Source organism: Homo sapiens, chromosome 6, assembly GCF_000001405.40.
Source record: "Homo sapiens chromosome 6, GRCh38.p14 Primary Assembly".
Classification (NCBI taxonomy): Eukaryota; Metazoa; Chordata; class Mammalia; order Primates; family Hominidae; genus Homo; species Homo sapiens.
The window spans coordinates 163903250-163930460 of NC_000006.12; the positions used below are offsets into that span (position 1 = coordinate 163903250).

At 42.6% G+C, this 27211-nt stretch overlaps 1 long non-coding RNA gene across 1 annotated transcript in view; it reads left to right on the top strand.

Annotated features, from left to right (window-relative positions):
- The first annotated feature begins 250 nt into the window (after positions 1 to 250).
- Positions 251 to 27211, top strand: part of LOC105378102 (uncharacterized) — a 155467-nt gene continuing 128506 nt past the window's right edge. Inside the window, exons 1-4 of the long non-coding RNA XR_943213.4 lie at positions 251 to 374; positions 873 to 1039; positions 15400 to 15488; positions 16488 to 16665. This is a non-coding gene — a long non-coding RNA (uncharacterized LOC105378102). The remainder of the gene's footprint in view (positions 375 to 872; positions 1040 to 15399; positions 15489 to 16487; positions 16666 to 27211) is intronic.

The window sequence follows — 27211 nt, forward strand, 5'->3', positions numbered from 1 at the left end:
GTTGGAATCTTCTAGGTGCCTCTTTCAGCTCTGAGATGTTAGGAGAAGTTAAACAAAAAAAACAACAAATGAGATGCCAGAAGGTAACTCATGATAAATGCCAGACATCAAGTGCTGTAAAGGTTCAGAGCAAGAAGAAATTGGTGCGTGGGAACCTGGCTAGGAATTCCTTCCAAAAGGAAGAGAAGGTATTAGCTGGCGTTGGGGTTACTGTGTCTTTATCCATTCCCTTCCCATCACAGAAGCCTGGATTCTTTACATCAGCAACAGACTGGATGGAGGCAGGAGGCAGTGCGGACCAGAGAGAGGAGTTGTTGCCCGCAGGGTGCCCTTTGAAGACTGCCTTTGCCACCATCTGCAGCGCGTGGGGCAAGGTAATTCTCCAGAATGAAATCCCTGCCTGTGTTTCTGGCCAGTTTTTCTCAGTCAGCCCCCACCCGACTACTTTCCCTGCTGCCTCTCTCTTTCATATTAAGACTTTAAACATCCAGATTGTAATTCATCTTTCCACCGTTGCACACAGCACCGGTCTGATGGACAGAAGTGTGTGGTCCCAATTAGATCTGCAGCTCTGATTCCCTGCCTGGGATTAGACTTTTGTGCAATTTGCTTGAGTTTGGACAACTCAAATATCAGATAACATTAAGGTTTACATTCTCTGTAGAAACCTGTCCCAGGAATTCGTTGATGTTTGCAGCATCCGATTACTCTATAGCCAGAGAAGGCCAAGAGTAGAACCTTCTATTTTTCTTGTTGACCTTTGAAAAGTATCATCCTGTGACTTCCTCTGTAAAGCCCATGACCTTCAAGCATCTAAATCTTCAACTTTTCCAAAAATTATGCTGCTTTTTTCCCAATGTTTTCTTTAACAGATATTAGAATGGCATCAGTGTTTGCTTTCACTAAGAGGAAGCGGAGTCCTGGGAGAAAGAGCCGCAGCCTGTGATTGCACAGCCTTCCCTTGATGGTACCTTTACCCTGGCATGTGAGCTATCAGCCGACTGGGGATGCTTTCAAATGAGACAGGAAACAGTTTAGGGTAAGAAATGCTTTTAAAAAATCATTCTCACGCCAGATGAAATCTCAGATCTTGCAATTTTGTTTGTTTTCTCCCTTCTCAGCTGTTTCCCTTTGAAGTCAAAGACTGCTATTTCTTTGTGTGAGTGCAGCTGTGACTAGTCGATCATGGTTTATTTTAAGACAAGAAAAGAAGTGGAGCAAAGAAATACCGATTGTTATTTGTCATCCATTAGCAAAATTCAGATGCACCCAGTCTTGTTCAAATATGCAGATGCAGGTTCCCTACATCGAGACGTTCAGGCTCGGGGTGCCATGCCCAGATGAATGGGGCAGCTTGGAGGCTTCTTGTCAGCCCTTGCTCAGGTCTTCTGACAGCAATGCAGGACGGGAGTTGGCCATTATCTTTTCTTATCCATGTTCATTGTCCCTGCCTGAGTTCAAGGCTTTATTCTTTTGGGTCTGAATGATTGTGGTTGCTTCCTGATAAGTTTTCTCTAGAACCGTATCTCTGGCCAACCATTTCTGCCCATACCATACCCAGACAAACTCTGAAGAGTCATATAAATTATACCACTTATGTGTCTCAAATCTTCAGTGGCTCTCTATTTCCAAGGGGTAAATTCTGAGTCCATTACTTACCATTTACAGTGTTCCTTAGTTAACCACTGTCTTTATTTCCAGCCTTATCTCCCACTTCTCTTTCTGGATCAATCGCTGCCACTAAAATAGTGTGCTCCCAGCTCAACATCATGTTGCCAAGAGCTAGAGCAAAGCCCATGTCCACCACGGAGTCTGTGTTGGGTTGACACCCATGGGAACACTTTTCCTGCCCTGAATTAGATCTTTTCTCGTTTCTATCATGTATAGATTTTTAGAATCGATGGGGATTTTAGCTATTTTTGTCCAATTGTCCAGCTTTACAGATGAGAGAACTAATGTTGGGAGGAAGTGAATTACTCAAAGCAACTGATAATGATGCTGCCGTTTATTGGCTGCTTTTGTATATGCCTGGCAAAGTGCTAAAAACACCTCGCTGAATTACCTCAGCATCCTTATGCTATTAACAAGGAACTTCGGGCACAAAGAGGTTAAGTCACTAGCTGCCGTTTACCAGGATGGTAAGAACCAGAGCCAAGAGTCACGCCTCAGTGGCCTGATGTCACTCACAGCCGTTTCTCTGCACTCCACCTACCCATGAGCCTTGTCATATGTTATTTTGTTCCATTCGTGGATGTTTCTTATTTACCCAACTATATTTGTAAGCTTCTGGATGGCAGAGACCTTACCCTATAAGCCTTTGGACCACAAAGCATGGATTTTTTTTTTTTTTTTAATTTAAAATGGAGTCTTGCTCTGTTGCCCAGGCTGGAGTGCAATGGCGCCATCTCAGCTCAATGCAAGCTCCGCCTCCTGGGTTCAAGGGATTCTTCTGCCTCAGCCTCCCGAGTAGCTGGGATTACAGGCACCCGCTATCACGCCTGGCTAATTTTTGTATTTTTAGTAGAGACAAGGTTTCACCATGTTGGCCAGGCTGGTCTTGGACTCCTGACCTCAGGCGATCTGCCCACCTCAGCCTCTCAAAGTGCTGGGATTACAGGCGTGAGTCATTGCACCTCGCCAGATTTTTAATAAATACGTTTGTCCTGCCTCTAAAAGTCAGGATCCAGAGATGTTGAGGAACATGGTCGTGCTCTGAACGTGCCAGGCCTGTGCGCCATGCTCCTGTGTGGGCAAACAGATGGGCAATCACTCTTTCCCTCATGCACATGGTGTTAGCCTCATCACCTGTCTCTACCTATATCTCAGCATTCTCCTACACACTATTCTTACATGTATCACACATAGCGCTCTGCTAGAATTCTGCTTCCGTTACACACATTTCAAACCTTGTCCCTTAACAAGCACAAGAGGTCAAAGACCTAAATATGCTGCAGATCTGCTTCCACTCCCCGCCCCCAGTATTTCCCAATAGTATAATATCCGTGTGTTCCTTCCACCAACCCTAGCTCCATCTCTAGTCATTCCCAACTTAGTGTATTTTGAATAAATACATGAGTTTAATAAGTTCATAATAAGACTACGAGATTGACAGGAACTAAACAGAACTCTCTCTGCCCTCTGAGACTATACAGTCTGTTAAGAGGTCCTGGGGTCTGAGGAAAACTGGTATTTTTTTTTTGGAGTCTATTCCACATTAGCACAATGTGAAGCAACACACACTGCATCCTGTAGTTCTCATAAATATTTTTATCTTTGATTAATGAATGAGGAAATGAATTCTTTAACGATCTATCGCTCACTCGCTCACACAGCAGCCAAGAGGTGCAACTAGGATTTAAACTCACCTTTGGCTCTAAAATCCATGTTTTGCCTCCTCTTGCCCTCTGCAAGGCTTTCTGATGCCCCCACAATAAAGAGGGCAATGTCCTAAACTGCCTGCTGGTATTGACTGGTGCACTGTCTGCCTTCAGCACTGATGGAGTTTGGAGTTCGAACTCTGGGCTGGGCAAGTCTGGGGGAGGCTGGTGATATTTACAATGAAGTGAGCCTCAAGCTTTCATTTGACCAGTAAAGGAAGTGGTGACCACCTCAATTAAGGACCGGATCAAGAAGAAGTCATACCATTCATCTTGTGATAGACATGTAGGATATTCTGCAAAATGCCAGAGACACCATGTGACTAGGAAGTTTCTGGGAATTTAGCAAAATTCCCATGATGACCTTGTAAATACATAAAGAAGTGAAGATTGATGATAATCCTTCTGGAAGTTTTCATCATTGCACGCTCAATGTGTTGATGAACAGATTGAAAAAGTATTGCTGAGCATATTGAAAGAATAGGAGCAAGGTTTTATCCTGAGCCTTTTATTGTTCAGTGTTTTAATTAAGATCTTGGATGGAATACTGGAAGTTATGCCTAGCTCACTTGATAGGGGCATAGGAATTGGCACTGTTGATCTCTCCTCCTTCTTCAAAGTCTCCCTTCTTGCGGGGCCCATGACACAGTTTTCTTATTTTTCTGAATCTGGTCTTTGTCCATCTCTTTTACGTATTCTTTTTCGTTTGCTTATTCTTTTGTTTGTTTGTTTGTTTTTGTTTTTTGAGATGGAGTCTCTGTTGCCCAGGCTGGAGTGCAGTGGCACGATCTCGGCTCACTGCAAGCTCCACCTCCCAGGTTCACACCACTCTCCTGCCTCAGCCTCCCGAGTAGCTGGGACTACAGGCACCTGCCACCACGCCTGGCTAATTTTTTGTATTTTTAGTACAGATGGGGTTTCACCATGTTAGCCAGGATGGTCTCGATCTCCTGACCTTGTGATCCATCCACCTCGGCCTCCCAAAGTGCTGGGATTACAAGCATAAGCCACCGCACCTGGCCTTGTTTGCCTATTCTTTAGAGGTAACCCAGTTCCTCAAGGTTTCTTCTTGGGCCAGCCTCACCTCCAACTGCATGGGTGATGTCCGTCTGATTCCATGGCTTCAGTCTGCCATCTTCCAAAAGGACAACTCCTGGCTTTCAGACCCAATTGACCACTGATGTTTCTGCCTTCCTGTCCCATACGTATTTCATATTCAATCAGACCCAAACTCAATGCCTTATCTTCCACTATAAACCTCATCCTACTGTAGTCAGTGAATGTACCTCCTTTTTGCCATTTGTCTTTGCCAGAAATCCTGGCCATAGCCTCTGATTTCATTCTCTTTTCCACTGCCACATAGCAAGTCTGTGGTTTCTAACTTCTAAATACTTCCCCAAACATGCCCATCCTTCTCCCATTCCATCGCTATTATCTTAATGCTTTCCACCATTAGTGCTTCACTGAGGTTATGGAAATAGCTTCCAAATGTATGTCTCGTCCCTGAGTGGAACGTTGCCCCCTTTATTGCCTACTCACTGATACAGCCAGAGTGGTCGTTTACAAATGTAAATCTGGTCAGGAGGGCACTGGCCTGATGGAGGCAATTCAGTTGTTCCTGCACCTCTTGACAGCAAGTTTCCGAGAGAACCTGCTCTGCCCTGCACTCTTCAGCCTCTCCCCTCGGATCTCCAAGTCCCTGGACACAACACTCCAGGCAAACTGAATTTTTTTACATCTCAAATAGGGCCTGATTTCTTTCATTTTCTCTCTATACATGTTTTTCCCTTTGCCTGAAATATTCTTTCCTCTACTGGTGTAGCTAATTCCTGCTCATTTTTTTCTTCTCATCTTAGATTTCCTTTTCTTCAAAACATCTGATTCTTCAAGTCTAAATTAGCTAGCTGTTCCTTTTATCTGTTCACCCAGCTGTCACTCATATAGAGGTAGAATGGCTAAAATATGGGGTATCGAAAGATTGATGGAAAAAAATATAACACTTTGGATTTGAATGTTCAAGCGATATGCTGAGGTTTAGCAATGCTCGATATATCTTTTTTTTTTTTTTTTTTGAGACGGAGTCTCACTCTGTCGCCCAGGCTGGAGTGCAGTGGCGCGGTCTCGGCTCACTGCAACCTCCGCCCACCGGGTTCACGCCATTCTCCTGCCTCAGCCTCCTGAGTAGCTGGGACTACAGGCACCGCCACCACGCCCGGCTATTTTTTTGTATTTTTAGTAGAGACGGGGTTTCACTGTGTTAGCCAGGATGGTCTCGATTTCCTGACCTTGTGATCCGCCCGCCTCGGCCTCCCAAAGTGCTAGGATTACAGGCGTGAGCCACTGCGCCCGGCCAATGCTCGATATATCTTATAAACAAATAAAATAAACCACGTTAACCTGTGTGGGAGATCCGCCTGATTGCATCTCTCATTGGTGAAGGTGAGTCCCGCCAGGGACTCTCAGAATGCTCCTAGGAAACCTTCACACAGACTTTTTGGCAGATTACACATCTCTCACCCTCTCTAAAGTTTTCCTGGCTTGATTGAACAGATTTTCATTAAAGCAAGCCAGAATCCAGCCCCAGCATTTAACTGCGCTGCTGCAGGGAGTCATGCATTCTTTTGTAACGTGACTACAACTTTGATTCCCCACTTTCTTCCTAAGATTTGTTGTTGTTTAATTACATGAATTTCAAGGGTGTGACCCTGACATTTGGGAAGAAAATTAAAAATTTTTTTAAAAAGATGGTAAATGCAGCTGACAGCTCATTTGTCAATGCCAGTTCTACTGCCTACTCCTAACTGGTATGTGAAGAGCTTTACGAATCCAATTTGTAGCTTACGGCTAGTGTTAGAAGCAGTGAAACTTCATGGTTTTAGTTTGTGAAAATATTACCAGGCTATTGCCTATTTTCTTCTTTAGATGTTGTTTTTAGCTGTTCCAATGTTTTCATTTCTCTGCTTGAGTAACATCTAAAAAGACATGTATATAAAATCATATTATATTGAAGAGTATACTGAGCTATGTAAACCATCTTATAATAACTAAAACAACATAACACTAGCACACTGTAGGTTCTCAATAAATGTCTATTGAATTCCATTGAATAACGCTAGTTACTATATTTACTTATTTTAACTACAGAGAACTGCCTTTTTTTTTTGTTTACCAGTATTTCTAATATGCTTTTGGTAGGATTTCCTTTCAATGTATATTAATAGTTTTCCTTTATGACATTATGCATGATGGACATTGTCCTGAAGAATATAAAACTATATACTAGGAGGAAATAAAATGGAAGTTTTAAAGAAAATCATCATTTTACCTAGTTCAGCTAGTTAAATCCTGAGAGGAGAGTATTTAATTTTTTATTTCATTGTTCTTATGTCTCAGCTGAGTCTTAAATAATCATGGAGAAAACACACTGTACTGTTTTATTAAGAAATAAATAGCTATTCTCTAAGCAGGAGGATAACATAGTAAAATGTAATATTCTATTGCTGAGATAAAGAAATGAATAACGCTGCATAATGAAGCAGAGAAGGCTACTTTATAGAACAGCAATGAAGTGTGGCCGACCTCGGGCAGTCTTGATGGGTAGGGCCAGAAGGATGCACACCCGAATAGAGGTACTAGTGAAGAGCAAAATGACACTGCGAGGAAACAGTGCATGCATGCTCTGTGTCTTCTGTTCACTTATGGAAATAGATCCGTTTTTAAATCATGAGTGTAATGAATAACTGAGAAACATCATAATTGAGAAACAAAAATAATTCTGACTTCACATTCAGAGGGAGAAATAAACTTTGAGTTTAAGGTAATTAGTTTCCTTATAAAGCCTAAAGGTGTCAAGTATTTTTGGGGGGCTGTGACAAGTCCTAAAATCTTAATGTTTATGTTACCACAAGTGTCTTATTCCATCTGAATGGGCCCTTTGGTTAAATCTTTTACCAAATTTGAGAAATTTTCAGTCATTATTCTTCAGTTATTTTCTTCTGCCTCACTCTCTTTTCTCTCCTTCTGAGACTCCAATTGTACATAAATATGTATATGATTGTCCAACAGATCTTTCAGGCTCTGATTATGTTTCTTCAATTAATTTTCTCTCAGTTCTTTAGATTGAATAATTTCGTCTTTTTCTGCTGCTGTCTCTTCTTCCTCTTTGTCTTCTTTTTCCTCTTCCTGTTCCTCCTCCCCTTTTTCTCCTTCTTCCTCTTCTTCCTTCTTTCTTCCTCTTCTTCCTTCTTTCTTCATCTTCATCTTCGTCTCACTCTGCCATCCAGGCTGGAGTGCAATGGCACAATCCTAGGTCACTGCATCCTTGAACTCCTGGGCTCAAGTGATCCTCCCATTTCAGTCTCCTGAAAAGGTGGGACTACAGGCACCATGATGGGCTAAATCTTCTTTAATTGTTTGTAGAGATGGGGTCTTTCTTTGTTGCCCAAGCTGGTCTTGAACTCCTGGGCTCAAGTGATCGTCCTTCTTTGGCCTCCCGAAACGCTGGGATTACAGGCTTGAGCCACTGCACCTGCCCTAGGTTGAATAATTTCTATCTATCTTCAGGTGTAATGAATCTTCTACCATTTCTAATCTACTATTAAACCAGGCCCATATGATTTTAATTTTATAGTTTTCAGCTCTAGAATTTGCTTTATTTAACAATTTTTATTTCTCTTCTGAGATTGCATCTGTTTTCATGATGATAATATTTTCCTTTGAGTTCCTGAATGTATATTTATTTGATAGCTGCTTTAAAATCTTGTCTGCTAATTGCAACATCTAGGTTATAATCTGGAGTCATTTTTTTGACTGCCCTTTCTCTTGAGTTCTGGTCAATTTTCCTGTTCTATGTCTAGTGATTTTTAATTGTATTTGGGACATAATAATACAGAGAGTATGGGCACTGTCCTGTCCCTCTGAAGAGTATTGAATTTTGTTCTCACAATCTGGGCTCAAGCTCCAAATTCCATCTCCCCTGCAGTGGGCACAAGCTGAAGTCTCTATTATTTATGCCTCCAGCTGCTGTTTTCTCATGGGGATCACTGGGATCTGTGATCAATGAATGCACAAAGTGTGAATACAGAATTTAGGAGTCAAGGTTACCCCCTCTGCATCCCTCTCCCTTCCAGGATTCCCTCCCATACTTGCAGCTACTCCCCAATCCATCTGCTGTGTTCTCTGCCCTTTTTAGTGAGTAAGGCTGTGGCTTCTGCTGCTCAAAATGCAGGGGTTGGGAGTACCCTCAGGCAAAAAGCAGCAAGCTCTGGAATCTCACCTGTTGACGTTTCCATCGTTCGAGGCTGGCCTCCAATCCAGTTTTTACCTGCCATGTGGTCATTTTCAGTGCCTTAGTTTAAAAAAAAAAAAAAATGTGTCGGCCGGGCGCAGTGGCTCACGCCTGTAATCCCAGCACTTTGGGAGGCCAAGGTGGGCGGATCACGAGGTCAGGAGATTGAGACCATCCTGGCTAACACGGTGAAACCCTGTCTCTACTAAAAATACAAAAAATTAGCCGGGCGTGGTGGTGGGCACCTGTAGTCCCAGCCACTCGGGAGGCTGAGGCAGGAGAATGGTGTGAACCTGGGAGGCGGAGCTTGCAGTGAGCTGAGATCACGCCACTGTACTCCAGCCTGGGTGACAGAGTGAGACTCCGTCTCAAAAAAAAAAAATTGTTTCTATCTTTTCTAATTCTTTTTGTGGGAGGGTAGTCTGACCACGCCATCCACCATTACTCCCCTTTCGTTAAATTCAGTGACTCAAAATGGTACCATAATTTGGATAGACTGTTGGAAAGTGGTCAGTTTTAAAGATGTGTTTAATTTATACACAGAACTAACAAAGGTGAGAGGGTTATAGCAGAGAAGAGACAGTGCAAAGCGACTAATCTAGTGTTTTTTAAAATAGACTTTTAAAATGGCAAAACCCAAGATATTTAAAGTATTTATGTAATCACTTAAAAATGTATTAAAGAAATATTTGTAGAAAACATATGTAAAATTTACAGTATGGATAATTTAAGATGAGTCAGATGTGAAAGACTTCTCAAGGAACTCAAATTCAGAAGAAATGGGAAGAGATGCCCAAAGTGGTGAAGGTGAATAAAGCTGGAGAACAGATAGGATGTTGTTTGAATCCTTCCCTTAAGAATGTCCTTTGTCACTGAAATAGCATGTGTCTTGAGACCTGGTCTCAATGAAAGTCACCAGGGAATAGTTAAACAGCAAAATGCTAGGTAGCTGTATTCTAGGGGAAAATGAAAAGGGAGGTAAAGGTAACTGAAACAGGAAATATTATAGAAGTTATAATTTCTACACAACATGGAATTCTTTAGATTCAATTAAGAAGTCCTCTGCTGCTTTATAAAGCACCAGAAGTTTCAGCACTGGTGGGTGGAGGTAAGATAAATGCTCCAAATTGAGGAGAAAGCACCGTAGTCTTCGGAGGCAAATATTCCAGGAAACAAATCTCCTGAAATGCGTGGGTAAGATGTGACCTTTGGGCAGCTATGCCCAGGAAGGCTGACAATTCTCTGAATACAGAGAAGAAACCATCCAGGCAGATGAATATGGAGTGGGACTTAGCGGTGTGAGGCAGAGCTAGGCAGGAAGAAATGGAACGCCCAGTCCAGCCTGGGTCAGAAATCACTCAGAAGACACCCACGCTGCAAGTTGCATCAAGCCTCTGGTGAATGGGCATTTGACATTTATGCACGAACTGTGAAAGCTAGATAGGTAGAGAGATAGACATATACGCATATAGATAGCTACACATGCATACATATAAAATGGGACTTCACTGTTCAGAATAATGTACGTAGTTATCATTTCCTCTGTCAGGGCAATGTTTCCCAGTTATTTTGCTGTCTTTTTTACAAATAAGCCTTTCTAAATTTTGTTACTGAATTAGAACTCAAAGAAAAAGTTATTTCAATATTTTGGCCCTAGAATGGACAAGCCGGTTTGGCAGCATCTTTTACAGACTCCTGCCTCAATCAAACACATGCCACAGGTGTGCAACAAGGTGTAATGGAAATCAATTATGGTACAATGAAGAGTGGAGAAACTTTATCTGTAAACTCTTATGAACTCAGTTTAAATCAGAAAACACTGTAATTGAGTATGGATAGGAACTTTGTTTCTGTCCTGTTCTATATGGCAATAAGTCTGGTGGGCGATGAACCTGTCACAATACATTTAAAATGGCAATGAATATGTGATGTCTTTGCACAAAAGAGAGCAACTTCAAGAAATAAGATATTCTATATGGTTATAACTTGCAAATGAATAAACAGGCTTTCATCTCTGTGACCTTGTGCATTTAGTATGTGTGTGGGCATTCATGGGTTGAATGTTTGGGTGGCAATAATTTTACATGGAATGAATGAAGCCATATTATTTGTTTCCCTCCATCTATCAGTCAAGCATTAGTCTTCTCTGGACCAAGGTGTCCATCATCATCCTCACAGCTTCTGTTGGGATGCCATGTGATTCCTAACACCAGCCTCTACTTTGGTTCTGGAATACACTGGTTTCTTCCAGATCATTATGTGGTTTCCTCTCCTTTCCCAGAACTCACATGCAGTCAATCTGAATTTTAGAATTATTTAATATTAAGCAAAGTAAAAATCAGCTGGAGAAATTACAGGTTATAAGAATTTTTCAGTCTAATACTCTATTTTAGCAAACTTTTATTGATGCATGATGTACAGAAAAGTGCACAGATCACAACTACACAGCTCAGTGAATGCACAAAGTGAATACATCTTGTTCACCAAGCCCAATCCCAGGAAGAAAATGCTGCCAGTGCTACTGAAGTTCCCCTTGTTCCTCTCTCGATCATTGTCATCACCCTAAAGGTAATTACTATTCTGACTTCTAAAGCCAAAGATTAATTTTGTCTGTCAGTGAACTTCATATAAATGGAATCATGTGGGGTGTACTATTTTTGTTCATGTTCTTTCTCTTCATGTTGTGAGACTCATTCACGCTATTGCATGTAGCTGTAGGCTGTTTTTGCTGTGAAGTGTTTCATTTTATGGATATACCAAAATCTGTTTTTCTCTTGTATATATTTGAGTTGTATTCTCATTTTTGGCTATCATAAATGGTGCTGCTGTGAACAACCTTGTACAGGTCTTTGGATGCACAAAAGTACACATTTGTCTAGATACAGAGGAGTGTCATTTCTGGGTGACAAGAGATGCATATGTTCAGACTTACTAGATACTGCCAGTTTTCCAAAGTTGTTGTACAAATATACACTCACACCAGCAATTTATGAGAATTACAATTGTTCCACTTCTGTGTCAACTCTTGGTATAGTCAGTCTTTTTAATTTTAGCTTCTCTGGTGGTCATATAGTAGTATCTTTTTTTGTTGTTGTTTGTTTGCTTTCTTTTGGTATGAGACAGGGTCTTGCTTTATCATCCATAGAGTTCAGTGGCGCAATCACAGCTCACTGCAGCCTCAACTTCCTGGGCTCAAGCAATCCTACCGCATCAGCCCTTCAAGTAGCTGGGACTACAGGTGCACCACCACGCTGTCTAATTTTTGTATTTTTTGTAGAGATGGGGTTTCACTATTTTGCCCAGGCTGGTCTTGAATTCCTGAGCTCAGGTGATCCACCTGCCTCTGCCTCCCAAAGTGCTGGGATTACAGGCGTGAGGCGCTGCGCCTGGCCTTATCTTGTAGTTTTAATCTGCATTTCTTTGATTACTAAGTGACTAAGGAATTTTGTATACTTATGGGCCGTTTCGATGTCCTCTTTTGCAAAGGGTTTAGCCTGCTTTTCTGTTCGGTTGTCTCTTTCTTGTTGACTTTTGTGGGTTATCTACGTTTAGATGGAAGTGCATGATGACAAGGGATTCAGTGCAGCCTTGGATTAGAACTTGCCCAAAGTCCTTGCTTGTTCTTGAGGACTCACTGGAGGTTTCTTATGATGGCAGTTTAAGCCTCTGTCTTCTACGTTCGGTGAGATTCCCTGGCAGGACCAGACCGAGAATGAGGTGACAGAGGAGACTCTCTATGGCATGTGTCTTTCTTGCCTTCCTACTTGCCTTGAACAGATGGGAAGAAGTTGGTGTTAACCTGTGTGCTTAGTTAAGAATGTCGGTGCCAATAACCCCATGAAACTAGCTACCACTTGGTGACACTCACCAAATGTCCTGCATTGGGGCTGAAATTGCAGGAAAATAAAAATCTTTCATGTCCCACAGAGAGTTGGAGGATCCCAGAAGTTAAAGAACAAGTTCAATGTCAACTTGTCTAAATAAAATTTGCCCTCAATAGCACCCCTGACAGATGGTGGCCCCAGCTCTGCCCATCAATTCCAGTGACAGGAAACCCAACTCTGTAATATTCAAGGCAAACTGACCCACTATTGGCCAGCTCTGATGATGAGAAAATTCTTGTCTACATTCATATATGTAATGTGCCTCTCTGTTACTTCCACTGCTGATCTTAGATCTTTTCTCTGGAGGCAGAAGGGAGCAAAGGCACTTGCTCCCTTGCTTATGAGAGTTCTTTAAATATTTGAAGACATTCACTACGTCATGAGGTCACCTCTTAATTTTTCCTTTAGACTAAACATAAAAAACTAACCTCCTTGAAATAGACATCAGAAAAGCACCCTAGTCACAGAATACACTAAAATCAAAGATGAGTAATTTATTAAAGTATTTATTTTCTGATTCGAGAACATATATCATTTTCCCTTTTGTTTATTTTTCCTTTTATTAAACAGTAATTACCAAGTGGATCCCAGTAGGCTCATTAAAATGTTTAAATTTCATTATTACAGGTAATACCCCTCATTTTGTAGGCCGGTTTCTTCTTGCCTGCCAACACCTGCTGTTACCTTTTATTCTGATGATTGTTAACGGAATAATTCTGCGGTGGGGATCTTTTCAGTGTGTGACCCTGGTGAATAGCAAAGCCCTGTTCGAATTTTCCTTCTGTGTGTTGTTCATAATTCAAGGTAATCTCCAAAATGGTTGTAATGTGTCTTTTCTCATTTACATGAGAAACTGTCATTCAAAATTTTGTTTCCTGGAACTGGAGAAATTTCACAGAGCTGTTCTGAACATACACTGCACTGTACGTTTGTACCTTTGAAAGCAGGGGAGAAAAAGGAGACAGAGATTTGTTGATTCATAAAAATAAAGGAACACTCTGGCCCATTTGGGCAGTTCTTTTTTAGTCTTAGAATTTACTGTGCATATGCATTTATTCATTCAGTAATCAATAAATATTTATGAAGGGCCTACATTACATCAGGAGCTCTGCTGAAATATTGAGGATACATTAGTGAAAGCTGCCCTCCTTGAGTTTAGCTGCTGGTTGGGGAGACTGGTAAACATATAGGGATTTTTGATCCCTTGCAATGTGCAGAATGGAAGGAGCTCAATAAATAGTAACCATGATCACTGCTAATGTTACTACTACTACTGCTGCCACTATTGCTACTGTGATGCTACCGTTACTACTTCTATTATTACTCCATTTCTATTTTAGCCCTGCTACCCAGCAACTATAAAAGGCCCTGGGCCGGGTATGGTGGCTCACGCCTGTAATCCCAGCACTTTGGGAGGCCAAGGCAGGTGGATCACGAGGTCAGGAGATCGAGACCATCCTGGCTAACACGGTGAACCCTGTCTCTACTAAAAATACAGAAAATTAATTTGGCATGGTGGCATGCGGTAGTCCCAGCTATTCAGGAGCCTGAGACAGGAGAATTGCTTGAACCCAGGAGGTGGAGGTTGTAGTGAACCGAGATCGCGCCACTGCACTTCAGCCTGGGTGACAGAGTGAGACTCTGTCTCAACAACAAAAGACCCTGGAAAAATTACTGAATTTACTTGGGCCTTTTCTAACCCCATAAAACTAGAGAAAACTGACTAGGTACCTGTTTCTATCTGCAAGATGGCAGTAAGTGTGTTACCAAAACAAACAAACAAAAATGGTGGAGTAGATCAGTGTACAGATATTTTGGGGAATGCTATTTTAAGCAAAGTTTGCTTATTGAAGATTTCCCTGTAGTGTGTTAACATGCATTGTGGATCTCCAAGAACATGCACCAAATTTGTTTGGCTGCCAAATATATTTTTTTTCCCGGTATCTCTCTGTGTTAACAAAAACCAGTTTCTCGGAAATAACATCTCTTGTTCTGGGGAATGGATCTTTTCCCTCTCAATAAAGAACTACATAATTTTCTAAGTATTTTGCATCTTGAATGTTCTGTGACTCTACTATGTCTTAAGGTCTTCTGATATTAGGGTAACAATACATTTCAGTGTGTGTGAGATAAATAATTAACAGTGCTCCCTTAAAAAATATTTCCCACTTCAAATAATAAACTACATGGTCACCTTACCTAATACGGTGATCTTAACTCATTCTCATAGATATTTCTTGGCATATTGCTTCAGTTGCCCACAGAGTTTCTTGACACAAAATACCCATTAAATATTGAATAATAGGAACATCTTCCCTCTCCTAACATCATCTCCTCTTAACAAATTACCACCAATTTCCTTTGAATGATTCTCTGTTAAGTAGAGAACAACGAATAGACTTATACTTCCTTAGCTGTGAGCAGAGCAGGGTCTATGGCACATCTGCTGGGCACCTCACCTGCAATAGAGCTGTGACATATTCACAAGTCTGGGGCATGATCTTTGCCTTCAAGGTATTACTTAAGATCTATTATTGCCTTCAAGATATTTCTTAAAACCTATTAAATCTATTGGGTGGAGTTGTGTATTTGGCAAGATAGTTTATAATGTAGAAAATGTATAAATTAACCAACAATCCCCATAATTGTTTATTATATTTATCATACATCTCTGCCTTAGGGGCAATATATGTATTATTTAGCCCGTGGAGCAATAGTCTGAATAAAAGCATGTGTGTTGGATGAGGGCTGATTGGCTCCTGAGTTTCCATATTTGTGACATCAATTCGATATTAACTTACTCCGTTTTTTTTTCACCCTTTTCACCCCTCATCTTTCCTCTTGTTTCTAGTGACAATGAGAAACTCTGGTCTCAGTGGGATGGAAATAGAGCCTGGAAGAAATGGGAAACTTTAATATCTGGATGGATTCCTTAAACAGGTAACAGAAACTATAGCCTGAAAGCCAAACTGATTTTGATTGACAAGAACCGGACTTTAAGGGGGAAATAATAAAATACATTCTTAGGGACTAAAGAAGATGGGGCTTGACTATGAAGAACTAAGCTTAGAACACTATGCACGAGATTTGTACCAAACACATTAAAGGAAAAAGAAAATCTAGACGACATCATAATTTCCCCGCCACGCAAAAAAGAAATGTGAAGGTAGAATTCGGCTGATTTGAGAATGCTGGGGGAAGACGGAAATGTGCGTGCTCTGCATGCCCCAGAAATCTTCACACCTTTTACTCCTTATCCACTGAATGCTAGGGAAGAAGAAGAAGATGGAACAGATACTTCGAGGGGATCCAGCAGCAGGAAGGTTGCACCTCACTCTCCGGGGTAAAGCCTGGGAAGGCTAATGGGCTTTTAGGGAAACTATGTTCAGCATGGCCCTGGCACCATGGAGCTTCTAGTCTGGACAGGAAATTTGAGGAGCTTTCTCTCTGGGGTTGGTGGTAGCCACGTGAATTTTACCATTCCCAGCATGGTCCAAGAAATACATCCAGAAGTTCTGGAACATCCTCCTCTCTACAGGGGGACTAAAAATATACTGAGAAGCCCAGCGGATTGGGAGTTGCCTGGGGTTAGGACCAGAAGTGAGAGATTTGATGAGGTCCCAGAGAAAAAGACCCGGCAGCCGGGCAGGTCAGATGAAACCTCCGCAGGTGCCACAGTTCAACATCTACGGTTCCGGAGGGCACGTGGCAGGGAGGGGAGGAGGGGCAGCGGAGGCCGGAGGGCACAGGGGTCAGAAGCCCCTGCTCTGATGCCAGGATAGTACGCGTCTCGTTGGACACAAGATGAGAGATTGGAGCAAATGACAAGAAAAAGAGAAGGGGAGAATTTTGAGTCAAGACTGTTTATTTAAGGGAGACGTGTTTAAATTGCAAGCGATTGCAATTGTGGAACTGACGATTTTAAACAAATTTTCCCAGCATCCCCCTGAAGTAAAAGCTTGAAAAATAAAGTCCACCTGGGTGGTGACTGTCAAGACAGGCCCTGCCCCGTGGGCACTGGCTGAGGAATTTGGTGTATTCCACACATGCCGGAGTTTCCAAGGAGGAAACGTGTTTGAAGTCCAAAGAACAAGGACGGCCTCTGCTTGCTAATCAGGTAAATATTCATCCGAAAAAGCAAGATTTTGTTATAGATTGTAAACAGAAGTTTGACCTGCTCTAGCTTCCTAAGAATGAAGTGTTTCTATGTGCCTATTTCTCTAGGGTTTGTAGCTTAATGAGGTCTTGCCTTGGAACCTGATGAACATATCACTTCCTTTGAACTCTGTGGGTAAATGGAATCCTCTGACAGTCCATCTGTTTTCTATTTCGGTTTTCTGCCTCTTGGTTTCAAAGCACACGTTCCCCGTGACCTGTTACCTGTTGCTGAACCTTGTTCCAGTGCACAGCGGCCTCTCGCGCATCCCCACCCACCCGTCGGGTTGGGAACTGGTCAAAACCATCATCCTTCCGTTTTGCCATCATGGCATTGACGGGTATTTAGGGTTTGGAGTTCGTTGAATTTAAACTGATACACCTACAGCCATAACTGGCTTTAAGAATTAATTCTTCTATTGAAAAGTAAGCGTAAATTGGATTGTTTATAAATTAAATCGCTTAAATTTATCCTAAAGCGGCCTGAGGAAAGAAATCTACTTGTCAGTGCTTTTGAAAAAGTAACAGATTACTTTATGGATTGTTAATTACCATTTATTCATTGATTCCGTCAAGCACCTTTTTTTGTGTAGGGCACTGTGCTAGGTGCTTAACTTATCTTTGCTCTAAATTCATTTTGCCAAGTATGGAGTTTGCACTAAGATATCCTTGTTGCTGTCCTCTGTATAGTGATAGAGGGGTCCCATCTAAAGGATGACCAGAGAAAATGTACAAATATATATTTTAAAGAAGGTGATAGTCTTCCCTTTGCGCGCTTTAAAATCCCTACCTCGTTATTTTTTGTATTTCACCTCTACTCCAAAGATCCCTGAATTGCTGGAAGCAGTACAAACTTGGCCAAGTCAGTTACATGACCAGGCAGTGAGCGTGGATTTTTGTGCCAGCTTCCATAGGTGGGCCTGCTCTCAGAGGTGGGATCACTTCCTGTTCTCAGAGGTGGGATCACTTCCTGCTCTCAGAGGGAGGATCACTTCCACCTCACATTCTTTCTTTGGCAAGAATTTGAAAGCTGAAAAAGAACAATGGCATTTTGGCCCGTCACAAATTTCAGCAGGGTGGATTATTTCTTATTAAGCTGTTGGAATTTTGTTTTTTCATTCAGTGAACATTAGTACCTACACTGTGTCAAACACTGTTAGATGTTGTAGATACACAGATATACCTGAGAATAAGACTGTCTTCAAAGGGTTCATGGCTGATGGTAGGAAACAAACACATGAATAACTCGTTAAATGCACCATTTATTTATTTATTCAACAACTCTTTATTAATGCTTATATGTTAGATAAATATTTTATTAGAGATTATTTACAAAGTGCTTGGTGGAGAGAAATGAGAGACTTCACTTGTCATGCAGAGGTGGGATGGGAACTGCAGAGAGCTATTAGGATCAGCTTTTAGAGAAGAAGATAATTGAATTGAGCCTTGAAATCAGGTGGGGAAAGGACTACAAGCATCAGCATCGAGGTTTGGCAGGTGAACATGGATAACGAGGATAAATAATGTACAACCGTGTCTTAGGCTAAAATCAAATTCCTGCTCAGGAATTAGGGGCATAAGCAAATAAGCAGGGGGGATCTTTATTTCTGTAGGGGCTGCTTTGCCAGAAACCTCGAATACTACGTCTAGCAGATTCAGCTTTTATTAATCACTCACTCACTATTTGGAATCAGCCACTTTTTTTTTTTTTTTTTTTTTTTTTGAGACGGAGTCTCGCTCTGTCGCCCATGCTGGAGTGCAGTGGTGTGATCTTGGCTCACCACAACCTCCGCCTCCTAGGTTCAAATGATTCTCCTGCCTCAGCCTCCCGAGTAGCTGGGACTACAGGCGCATGCTACCATGCCCAGCTTTGGAATAAGCCATTTCTAGTCATTAAAGAGGGGTATTCATCAGCTTTGATTGGCAGTTTTGCCAGGTTCTGCCAGTTCCCTAGTGCCCATCAGATACTCACAGTGCACTTAGAATAAAGACTCCACTGCTGTATTAGTCAGTTTTCACGCTGCTGATAAAGACATACCTGAGACTGGGTAGTTTATAAAGAAAAAGAGGTTTAATGGACTCACAGTTCCACGTGGCTGGGGAGGCCTCACAATCATGGCAGAAGATGAAAGGCATGTCTTACATGGCGGCAGGCAAGAGAGAATGAGAACGAAGTGAAAGGGTTTCCCCTTATAAAACCATCAGATCTTGTGAGACTTATTCACTACCATGAGAACAGTATGGGGGAAAATGCCCCCATGATTCAATTATCTCCCACTGGGACCCTCCCACAACCCGTGGGAATTATGGGAGCTACAATTCAAGACGAGATTTGGGTGGGGACACAGCCAAACCAAATCAGCTGCCCAGACTCTTTTGCCACTCTCGGTGGTCATCTGATGAAGCTCTCGCCAGTGAATTTGGGTCTTCCAGGAAGGTGCGTTCTGAGATCTGACCTACGGGGAGGTGTTCCCCTTGGGTTCTCCGTGTCCTCTTCACTGATTTTTTAGCCACTGGGCACAGGAAGCACAGTGCCTGGAATCCACAAAAGACTTTTAGGGGCTCTGAAAAAGTTTTCATTCTTTTTAAAATCAGAAGGAAAAAAATGAATAAAGAAAATGTTTTACCATAATATTAATATGCCTGTCTATACCAATATAGCCGTAAAATATCATTTTTAATATTTACCTGAGGATTCATGAAGGCAAAAGTGCCCAGGGCTAGCAAAAGTCAGAATGCAGCTCTAGTTGGAGCAACCCTTTGAGGAGAACAGAGCGAGTAGGCGGGGCCACCATGCAGCACTCAGCAGCTCACCTGCAGATGTCAAGTGTGTGCTGCGTACACCCCCATGTGTTTCAGCTGCTGTATGAGGGTTTCTGTTGTATGCAGCTATTTGAAATTTCTAATGAACACAGCCATTCCCCCCCAACTGACCCCTGCCCAGCTTCTAAGTGACTGAATGGAAATGGTAGCAAGGGAGCTTCCCTGACTGTGCACACACCCCAGCACCTCTCACGGGATTGGCTGAAGAGCTTTGCTATTTCAGGTTGGGTCAACAGGATATTGCACTCCAGGATTTTTTATTTAAATTTTTTTTCAGTGTATCTCTCTAGTGTAGGGCTATGGCCCAAAAGTGGGCTTAGTAGTATTGCACCTATGCACAAATCAATTCCAAACAACATTTTGGAAGTTTTAGATGTTTTCTCACTTCAAAATCACCCAGCAGAGGAAACTGCCTCTTTTCCTATGGACGATCTACTTAAGGAACAAGTGTTTTTCTCCTCGATAGGCCCTAGCGTCCTTTCCTCAGTCTCCCGCTTCATTTTTAAAGCCAACGCTGGGCTCTTATTCTGCCCTGCACCCTCATATCCCGTTGGCACCTGGCTCAAGTGGAAAAAGCCCCTAGTCCGCACGTAATCTCACTTAAAGAGAAGTAACAAAATTCATCTGAGCTGACTTCTTCGGAAACCGGTGATTTCCACCTCTTTTTAAGCTCCTTCCAGTGCCTGCCATGGCTGGCGTTAATAAGAACGCCGGCCCCTCATTTCAGAACTTTCTCTGGTTTCCTGATTTGGATATGAATGAGATGACAGTAATAAGAGGCCACCGAGATCGCAGACTCATTGAAACACGTTCTTTAGTTGAAGTGGAGAAAGGCTTGGAGAGGCGCCTTCTGAAAGAGCGTCGGTCCTCCTCGGCATCTTGTAATTTATCTACATCATCTTAAAGGGTGTTTGAGAAAAGTTTGGTGGATCATAAAGAATCAGTAGAAACATTCAGAGTAACAGAGCATTTCTCTCTCTGTCCTTCTGTCTCAGTTTCTGCCTCTCTCTTTCTTCTAAGCTTAGCATCAACAAGAGTAGGCCAGATTGAGCCTGTCTTGTGTTCACTTACTGAAGCAGTTTCTGTACCGCGCTGGTTCTCAGTGTATCAGTGAAAGCTAAAATATCACCTTGCAACATTTTGGCTTCAAGCCTCGATCACGACAAATCTGAGAGCAGAGAAAGGTTACTTGGTAAAAGAACTATGCTTGAGCAAAGGGAGCCTGATTATTGCAGAGAAAATGAAAGAAAAACATACTAAAGTAGGTCTCAAATGGAAATGGAGTGAAGGAGAAATGAGCCTTCATTTGTGAAGCAAAACGAAGAGACAGAATTAGTTACCTCAAGGTGTAAACTGTGGACCAGATGAATCAGAAGCACAGAAATATTCAAGGGCATGTGCAAAGATGGGAGGGTGACGTGTCGCACGGCGCACACACACAGCAGAATGTGGGTCGAACGTGCCCGGCGGGCTGCAGGCCCAGGAAACCCCCACATTCCCGGCCTGAATTCAGTCCAGAGGAGGCTGGCTGGTGTTTGCTGTTGCATCATGCCTGCAGGAGAGCAAACGAGTCTTCTTTATCTTTTTCTCCTTCCCCTCCTCTTTTCCCCTTTCCTCTCTGTTTCTTCCTCTTCCTCTTCCTTCTCTACTTCTTCCTCCTCCCATTACTCCTCCTCTCCACTCTTTTCTATATCTCCTCGTTTCCTTTAGAGGCTGATCAGTGGCGTTACGCTGAAGAAGGCCTGCTCTGGTGTTGCTCTGTCGGCTTTATTGATATGTACTTAAATCTTACTTTTATTATATCCTAGGGTGGTAGAAGGTACTCAATTATATCCATGAGGTTTCTGCAGCTGTTACATAATTGTTACACGCCCCATCACGCTTTATTGCCAGACAATTGACTGCTTTGGGAGCTGTACCTGTAAGGTATTTAAAAAGTAAGAAATAATGTTATTAATGGTTTCTTGGTAAGAGGCTCAACATCATTTCAAAACAAACTTTGGGCCTTTGTTTTATTTTTTTTCCAACGGAACTGCAGCATCTCTGAGTCTTGTGCAGCTGGCCAATGTGATGGCATTTATAGTGAAGGGTCCATGAATGCTTCATGACGGTGCCTCTCTCCCACTGGTGAATTATGTACATTTATGTGGCGTTAAAGCCCTCAAATGGCCCCGTGGAGGCGTGGATCTCAGGGAGTTGAGGCTGCCTGAAAACGCCTTGCAGGTGGCCTCAGCCAACCCATGGGGCGAGATGTTCCTTTCCCTTTCCAAAGCACACAGCGAAGTAAAAACCAAATACCAATGCGGTTTATGTCCCCTCAAAATTCCTATGTTGAAATCCTTCCCTCAAGGGGATGGTATTAGGAGGTGGGGCCTTTGGGAGCCGCTTAGGTTGTGAGGATGAAGTGAAGCCACCTTAGAAAAGAGGCCCAGGACACGGTGGCTCACACCTGTAATCCCGGTGCTTTGGGAGGCCGAGGCGGGCGGATCACGAGGTCGGGAGTTCAAGACCATCCTGGCCAACATGGTGAACCCTGTCTCTACTAAAAAAAATACAAAAATTAGCTGGGCATGGCGGCACGTGCCTGTAATCCCAGCTACTCGGGAGACTGAGGCAGGAGAATTGCTTGAGCAGGGACCCAGCAGGCAGAGATTGCAGTGAGCCGATATCATGCCACTGCACTCCAGCCTGGGCTACAGAGCAAGACTCCATCTCAAAAAAAAAAAAAAAGAAAAGAAAAGAGGCCCAGGAGAGACCCTCACCCCTCCTGCTAGAGTGAGAAGATAGCTGTCTATGCGTGAACAGCAGGCAAACTGCAGGTGCCTTGGACTTGGACTTCTCAGCCTCCAGAATGGTGAGAAATAAATTTCTGTAGTTATAAACTACCCAGAGTGTGCTGTCTTGTTATACCAGCCTGAAGGGACTAAGACAACCAATCACAACAATGGAGAGCAAAGCAACACCCTTCCTGGGAACATGACGGGGTGTTTCCAATTGTGATGACTAGATTGCAGTTTAAAAGTATATGAATTGAGCCCTCATTTGTGCTTTTATAGTTCTTTATATAGATTTTGACCATTAAACTTATAATCACTTCGTTTGTTTACTTTAAATAGTTTTGGGTTGCCCTTTCTTTATAGCCACCGTGAGCTCTTGGGGTGAAGGATAAGGCCCGAGAGCCACAGTGCTGAAAAGCATGACAAGTACAGGCTCTGGCAGATCCAAGGGCAACTCCAGCTGGTCTGCAGAGTGGCTGTGTGACTTTGGGCAAATTATAGGCCTCTCTGAGACTCTGTCTTTTTCTGTGCAAAATCAGGCCAGTGCCTACTGCATTTGTCTGTGGTAAAGATTCAATAATAGATTTAAACTGCCTACCTCAGAACCCGAAACCAAGTAGGTGCTCAAGAATGGTTAGCTGCGTTAAATTGAATTAAATGCATAATTTGCTTTATTTGGACACAGGCCATTACCAGTTAAATGATTCTAACAACACCAACATAAGATATCAAAACTAAAAATCTTTTCCCTAGAAATAATGTTTCACTTCATCCTGCATTTGAAAATCCTTTATTTTATCCTGTAAGAAATTCTCTCAGAAACCTAATTTATCTAGAATTTCAAGGGCCAAGCTTAATTTCTGTAACCATATAGTTTCGTTCTGCCATAATTATATGTCTTTTAAGAAACATTCCATGAGTTGTCCTTGTAGCCCAAATGTATCCGTTTTTGTTAACTCTGGAAAGTGCAAGTCTAGGGTATTTCACTTTTGGAAACAGGACTTGATACAATGAGCCATGAAGATTTGACATGCTGGGGTTGTGTCTCCTAAGAGAAAATCAACTCTGTAATGTGGTTCCAGACCGAGACGGGAATCACAGCGTGTCCCCTTGAGCTGACAGCATTGTGAGGGGGAGTGTGGGGAGTCAGGAAGGGTTCACCATTAGGCTAGGAGGGGTGGGTTGTTCTCCTGAGAATGGGGCTGCAATGTTTTTGGAAATAAGTGGGCCCCTTGGGCTTGTCTCCTTGGTTTTGTCCAGGCTCAGTGGAGCACTGTTGGCTGGGAGGAAACATGGCCTTCGATGTTGCCCACTTGGCAGTTTCCACCATTGTTGACTCACTTAGGCTGATGGCAGCTGCCTCTGCTGGGAAGGAAGCGTTTTTCCCACAACATATTAAATGCGGCACTGGAGGATGGCTGGCTGGTCCAGGGGCCGGATCTGGCTCTGTTGCTCACAATGATTCTGTTTGGCAAGCGTTTTTAAAAAGCCTTGGTAAGTTCCAGATGGTGACCACTTGCCTCATTTATCCTCCATTTGAAAAATTTCAAAAACTATTCATTTGTTTGCATACCAAGGCAGTACAGAATCTTCTACAGTGGCACTTCGATGGTAAGAATTGGGGTTTTTTTCCTGTGATTCTTTCCTCCGTGTTGTGGTTTATTTAGCAGTGATTGGCTTCTTTGTCTGCTTTTAGAATTGGGTATATGTTTGGATCAGCTGTATGCATTAGGACCCATTGTATGCATTAGTATCAGCTGAATACATTAGGGTCAGTCATATGTATTAGGACCAGCTATATGCATTATGGTCAGCTATATGCCTCAAGGTCTGCTATCTGCATCAGGGTCAGCTATATGCACCAGTTATGTGCATTGAAAACAGTTATATGCGTTACAGTCAGCTCTGTGCATCAAAGTCAGCTGTATGCATCAGGGTCAGGTACATGCATCAGGGTCAGCTCCATGCATCAGGGTCAGCTCCATGCATCAAGGTCAGATATATGCATCAGGGTTGGCTGTGTGCGTCAAAGTCAGCTATATGCATCAGGTTCAGGTATATGCATCAGGGTTAGTATATGCATTAAGGTCAGCTATATGCATCAGGTCAGCTATATGCATTGGGATCAGCTATATGTATCAGGTCGGCTAAATGCATCAGGATGAGCTATATGCATCAGGATCAGTTATATGTACCAGGGTCAGCTATATATGCATCAGGTCAGCTATACGTGTCAGGGTCAACTATATGCATAGGCTCAGCTATATGCATCAGCGTCAGCTATATGCATCAGGGTCGGCTATATGCATCAGGTCAGCTATATGCATCAGGTCAGCTATATGCATTAGGGTCAGCTATATGCATCAGGGTCAGCTATATGCATCGGGTCAACTATATGCATGGGGTCAGCTATATGCATCAGGTCAGCTGTACACCTTAGGGCCATTTATGCACATGAAGGCCAGTGATCTGCATGTCCCTGCTCTTTAATCTGGCAGCTCTTCCCCAGCCAATGATCTATCAATGCCTACCTGAAAAGTGACACCTTCTGTGGGGCAATTTATAATCCCTGCTGCTTTGCTCGATAGTTTGAAACAAAGCTACATATAGGACTTATTTGCATGAAACACATAATGTGGGTGGCCCAACTTTGGGTATTCCTCCCCACCACCTCCACTGAAAGGCCCTAAATCCACATTTGTCACACGCCCACCTGCTATGAGAATACAATTAAATACCAAATTCTATTCAAGTTTATTCTTTTAAAAGCCCCAGAAAAGCTTTAAAACCAGACACCAACAAAGCCAATAAAAAGAAAAGAAAGTTTTATAGTAAACCAGGGAAAAGTATAAAAGAAAAAATATAAAAGAAAAAAATAGGTAAGCAGCATGTTGAAAAGACAGGAAGTCTTTCCAGAAAAGTAAATCAATGTAGAAAAAGGAGTCATTCAGAAAACGTTGACGTATCATAAGAGAAAAATAGTAGGTAAAGAATTAAATTGACAAAAAGTCAATAAGAAATGTGAAAAAAAATCGGTATAAAGCAGCTCACACACAATGCAGAATTGGAGGTTTCCATTGCTAAAGAAGCCTTGCTCTGACTGAACAGCAGCCCAAAATCAAGGCCAGGGGTTCCTATGCTTCCAGGATGCCAAATGCTCCCCTAGGAATGTGATCATTCAGATTGGGTTCTAAAGCTGAAGGGCTTTACTGCTTTTCTAATTTACTAGAAATACACAAATACAACTAAGGAAAGTGAGAGAGAGATCGCTTTTTGAAGGCAAATTCCTTTTCTCTCATCCCTAGCTCTGCTGGCCAGAGCACAGGTTGAATCTCAAGAGGACCCTGAACTCTAGCAGGAGAGCCTAGAGCAGGTCTCTGAGTTTCTTACAGAGCCGTATGGAGCTGCTACTGTTTCCAAAGGGGTTTCAGTTCTCTCCAAGCATCCTGACTATATGACCACGAGCTACTGCTTAACAAACAGCTGCGGTGGGCTTGGAAGGCATGGGTTCCTGATGCAGGCCTCTAGAAGGTTCCAGTGAGGTCCTGATGGGCCCCCTACAGCATCCTCATGGTCATGCTGTGTTCTTGTCTCGAGCAAGGAACCACTGCCATTATGGCAGGGGGCACCACTTATGACATTTGCAAACCCATTAGCATTGCTGTAGTTTATAAAAGCCTGATGGCAGTGGGAAAAGAAAAGGTTACAGGGAAGCTATAAAGGAAAGAAGAAAATTAAGGAGAGCTTTCTCCTTTCACTTCTTGCTTTTGTGGCTTTTGCCCTTCCCTGCACTCTGGAATTACCATTGTTGGCAAAAGTGATTGGTTGAGTTCTTGAATATAAACATGGCTGGACTTCTCTTTATATTTGTGGAGGAATTCCCAATGCCTGGAATTTGTAATATGAGTTTTTGATTTATAATCAGAATTTGAGGGATAAGTCTAAGAAATGACTATAGGAATTGATTATGGATGAGTAGTATTTGTCAAGTTTACAGATTTAGTCAGGAAATGCTCATTAAGTTTCTATTCTACTCCAGGTTTAGGTATTGGGAATGGAGCACAGAAAGAGGCAGACAAGTGCCCAGTACTAGTAGAGCTTCTATTCCAGTGGGGAGAAGTCAACAGTCAAGATAGAAGTCAGGGTAATGCAAGTTGTAGGCCATCAGAACTGCAAGAGACACCAGCTGTCTGTAATGCAATAGAGTGCTGCGGTGGCCATGTGAGTCTGACTAAAATAAGGAGAAGGAGTCAACAGTAAGAACGGGGAGAGCTGCTGAGAAGGCTTCAGGTGGGAATGGATTTATTCTGCTTGAGCAAAAGAAAGCAGGCCGGGTAGGCTAGAGTGTAGGCTAAGACAGAGGGACATATGACATGAGCTCCAGAGGGAGGCGGAAGCCCCGTAGGGCTCTCCTTTAAAAATAGACTTGCAGATGATGGATAACTAAAGCTGTCACGAAAACCTTGATGTGGAGCTACCAATACTGGGCAATGACTGCCGAGTACAATACCAGGCTCTTTATGTTCATAATTTCTAATCTTCAGGCCAGCCCTGGTAGGCTTTGTAATCCTCATTGTGCAGATGAAGAAACTGATTCTAAGAGGCTTAGTTGTAGGTCATCCAGCTATTAAGTGGCAGAGCTAGGATTTGAATATGGGCCTGCCTTACGTAACACCTTGGCTCAGAACCCTACCCGGGGGCTCTCCAGTCACCTGTGGAGCTGGCTTGACACGGTGCCTGGCTCCTCCAGGGATTCGGATTCTGTAGGTCTGGGGTAGGGCCCAGAGACACATGTATTTTTCAGAATCTCCTCAGGGCATTCAAAAGGTGGCTGCGATTTATAGCAGGACTATAGTTGACTCTGTTATTTTCCAAAAAACTTTAAATAATCAAGCAATCAGTTAAGCA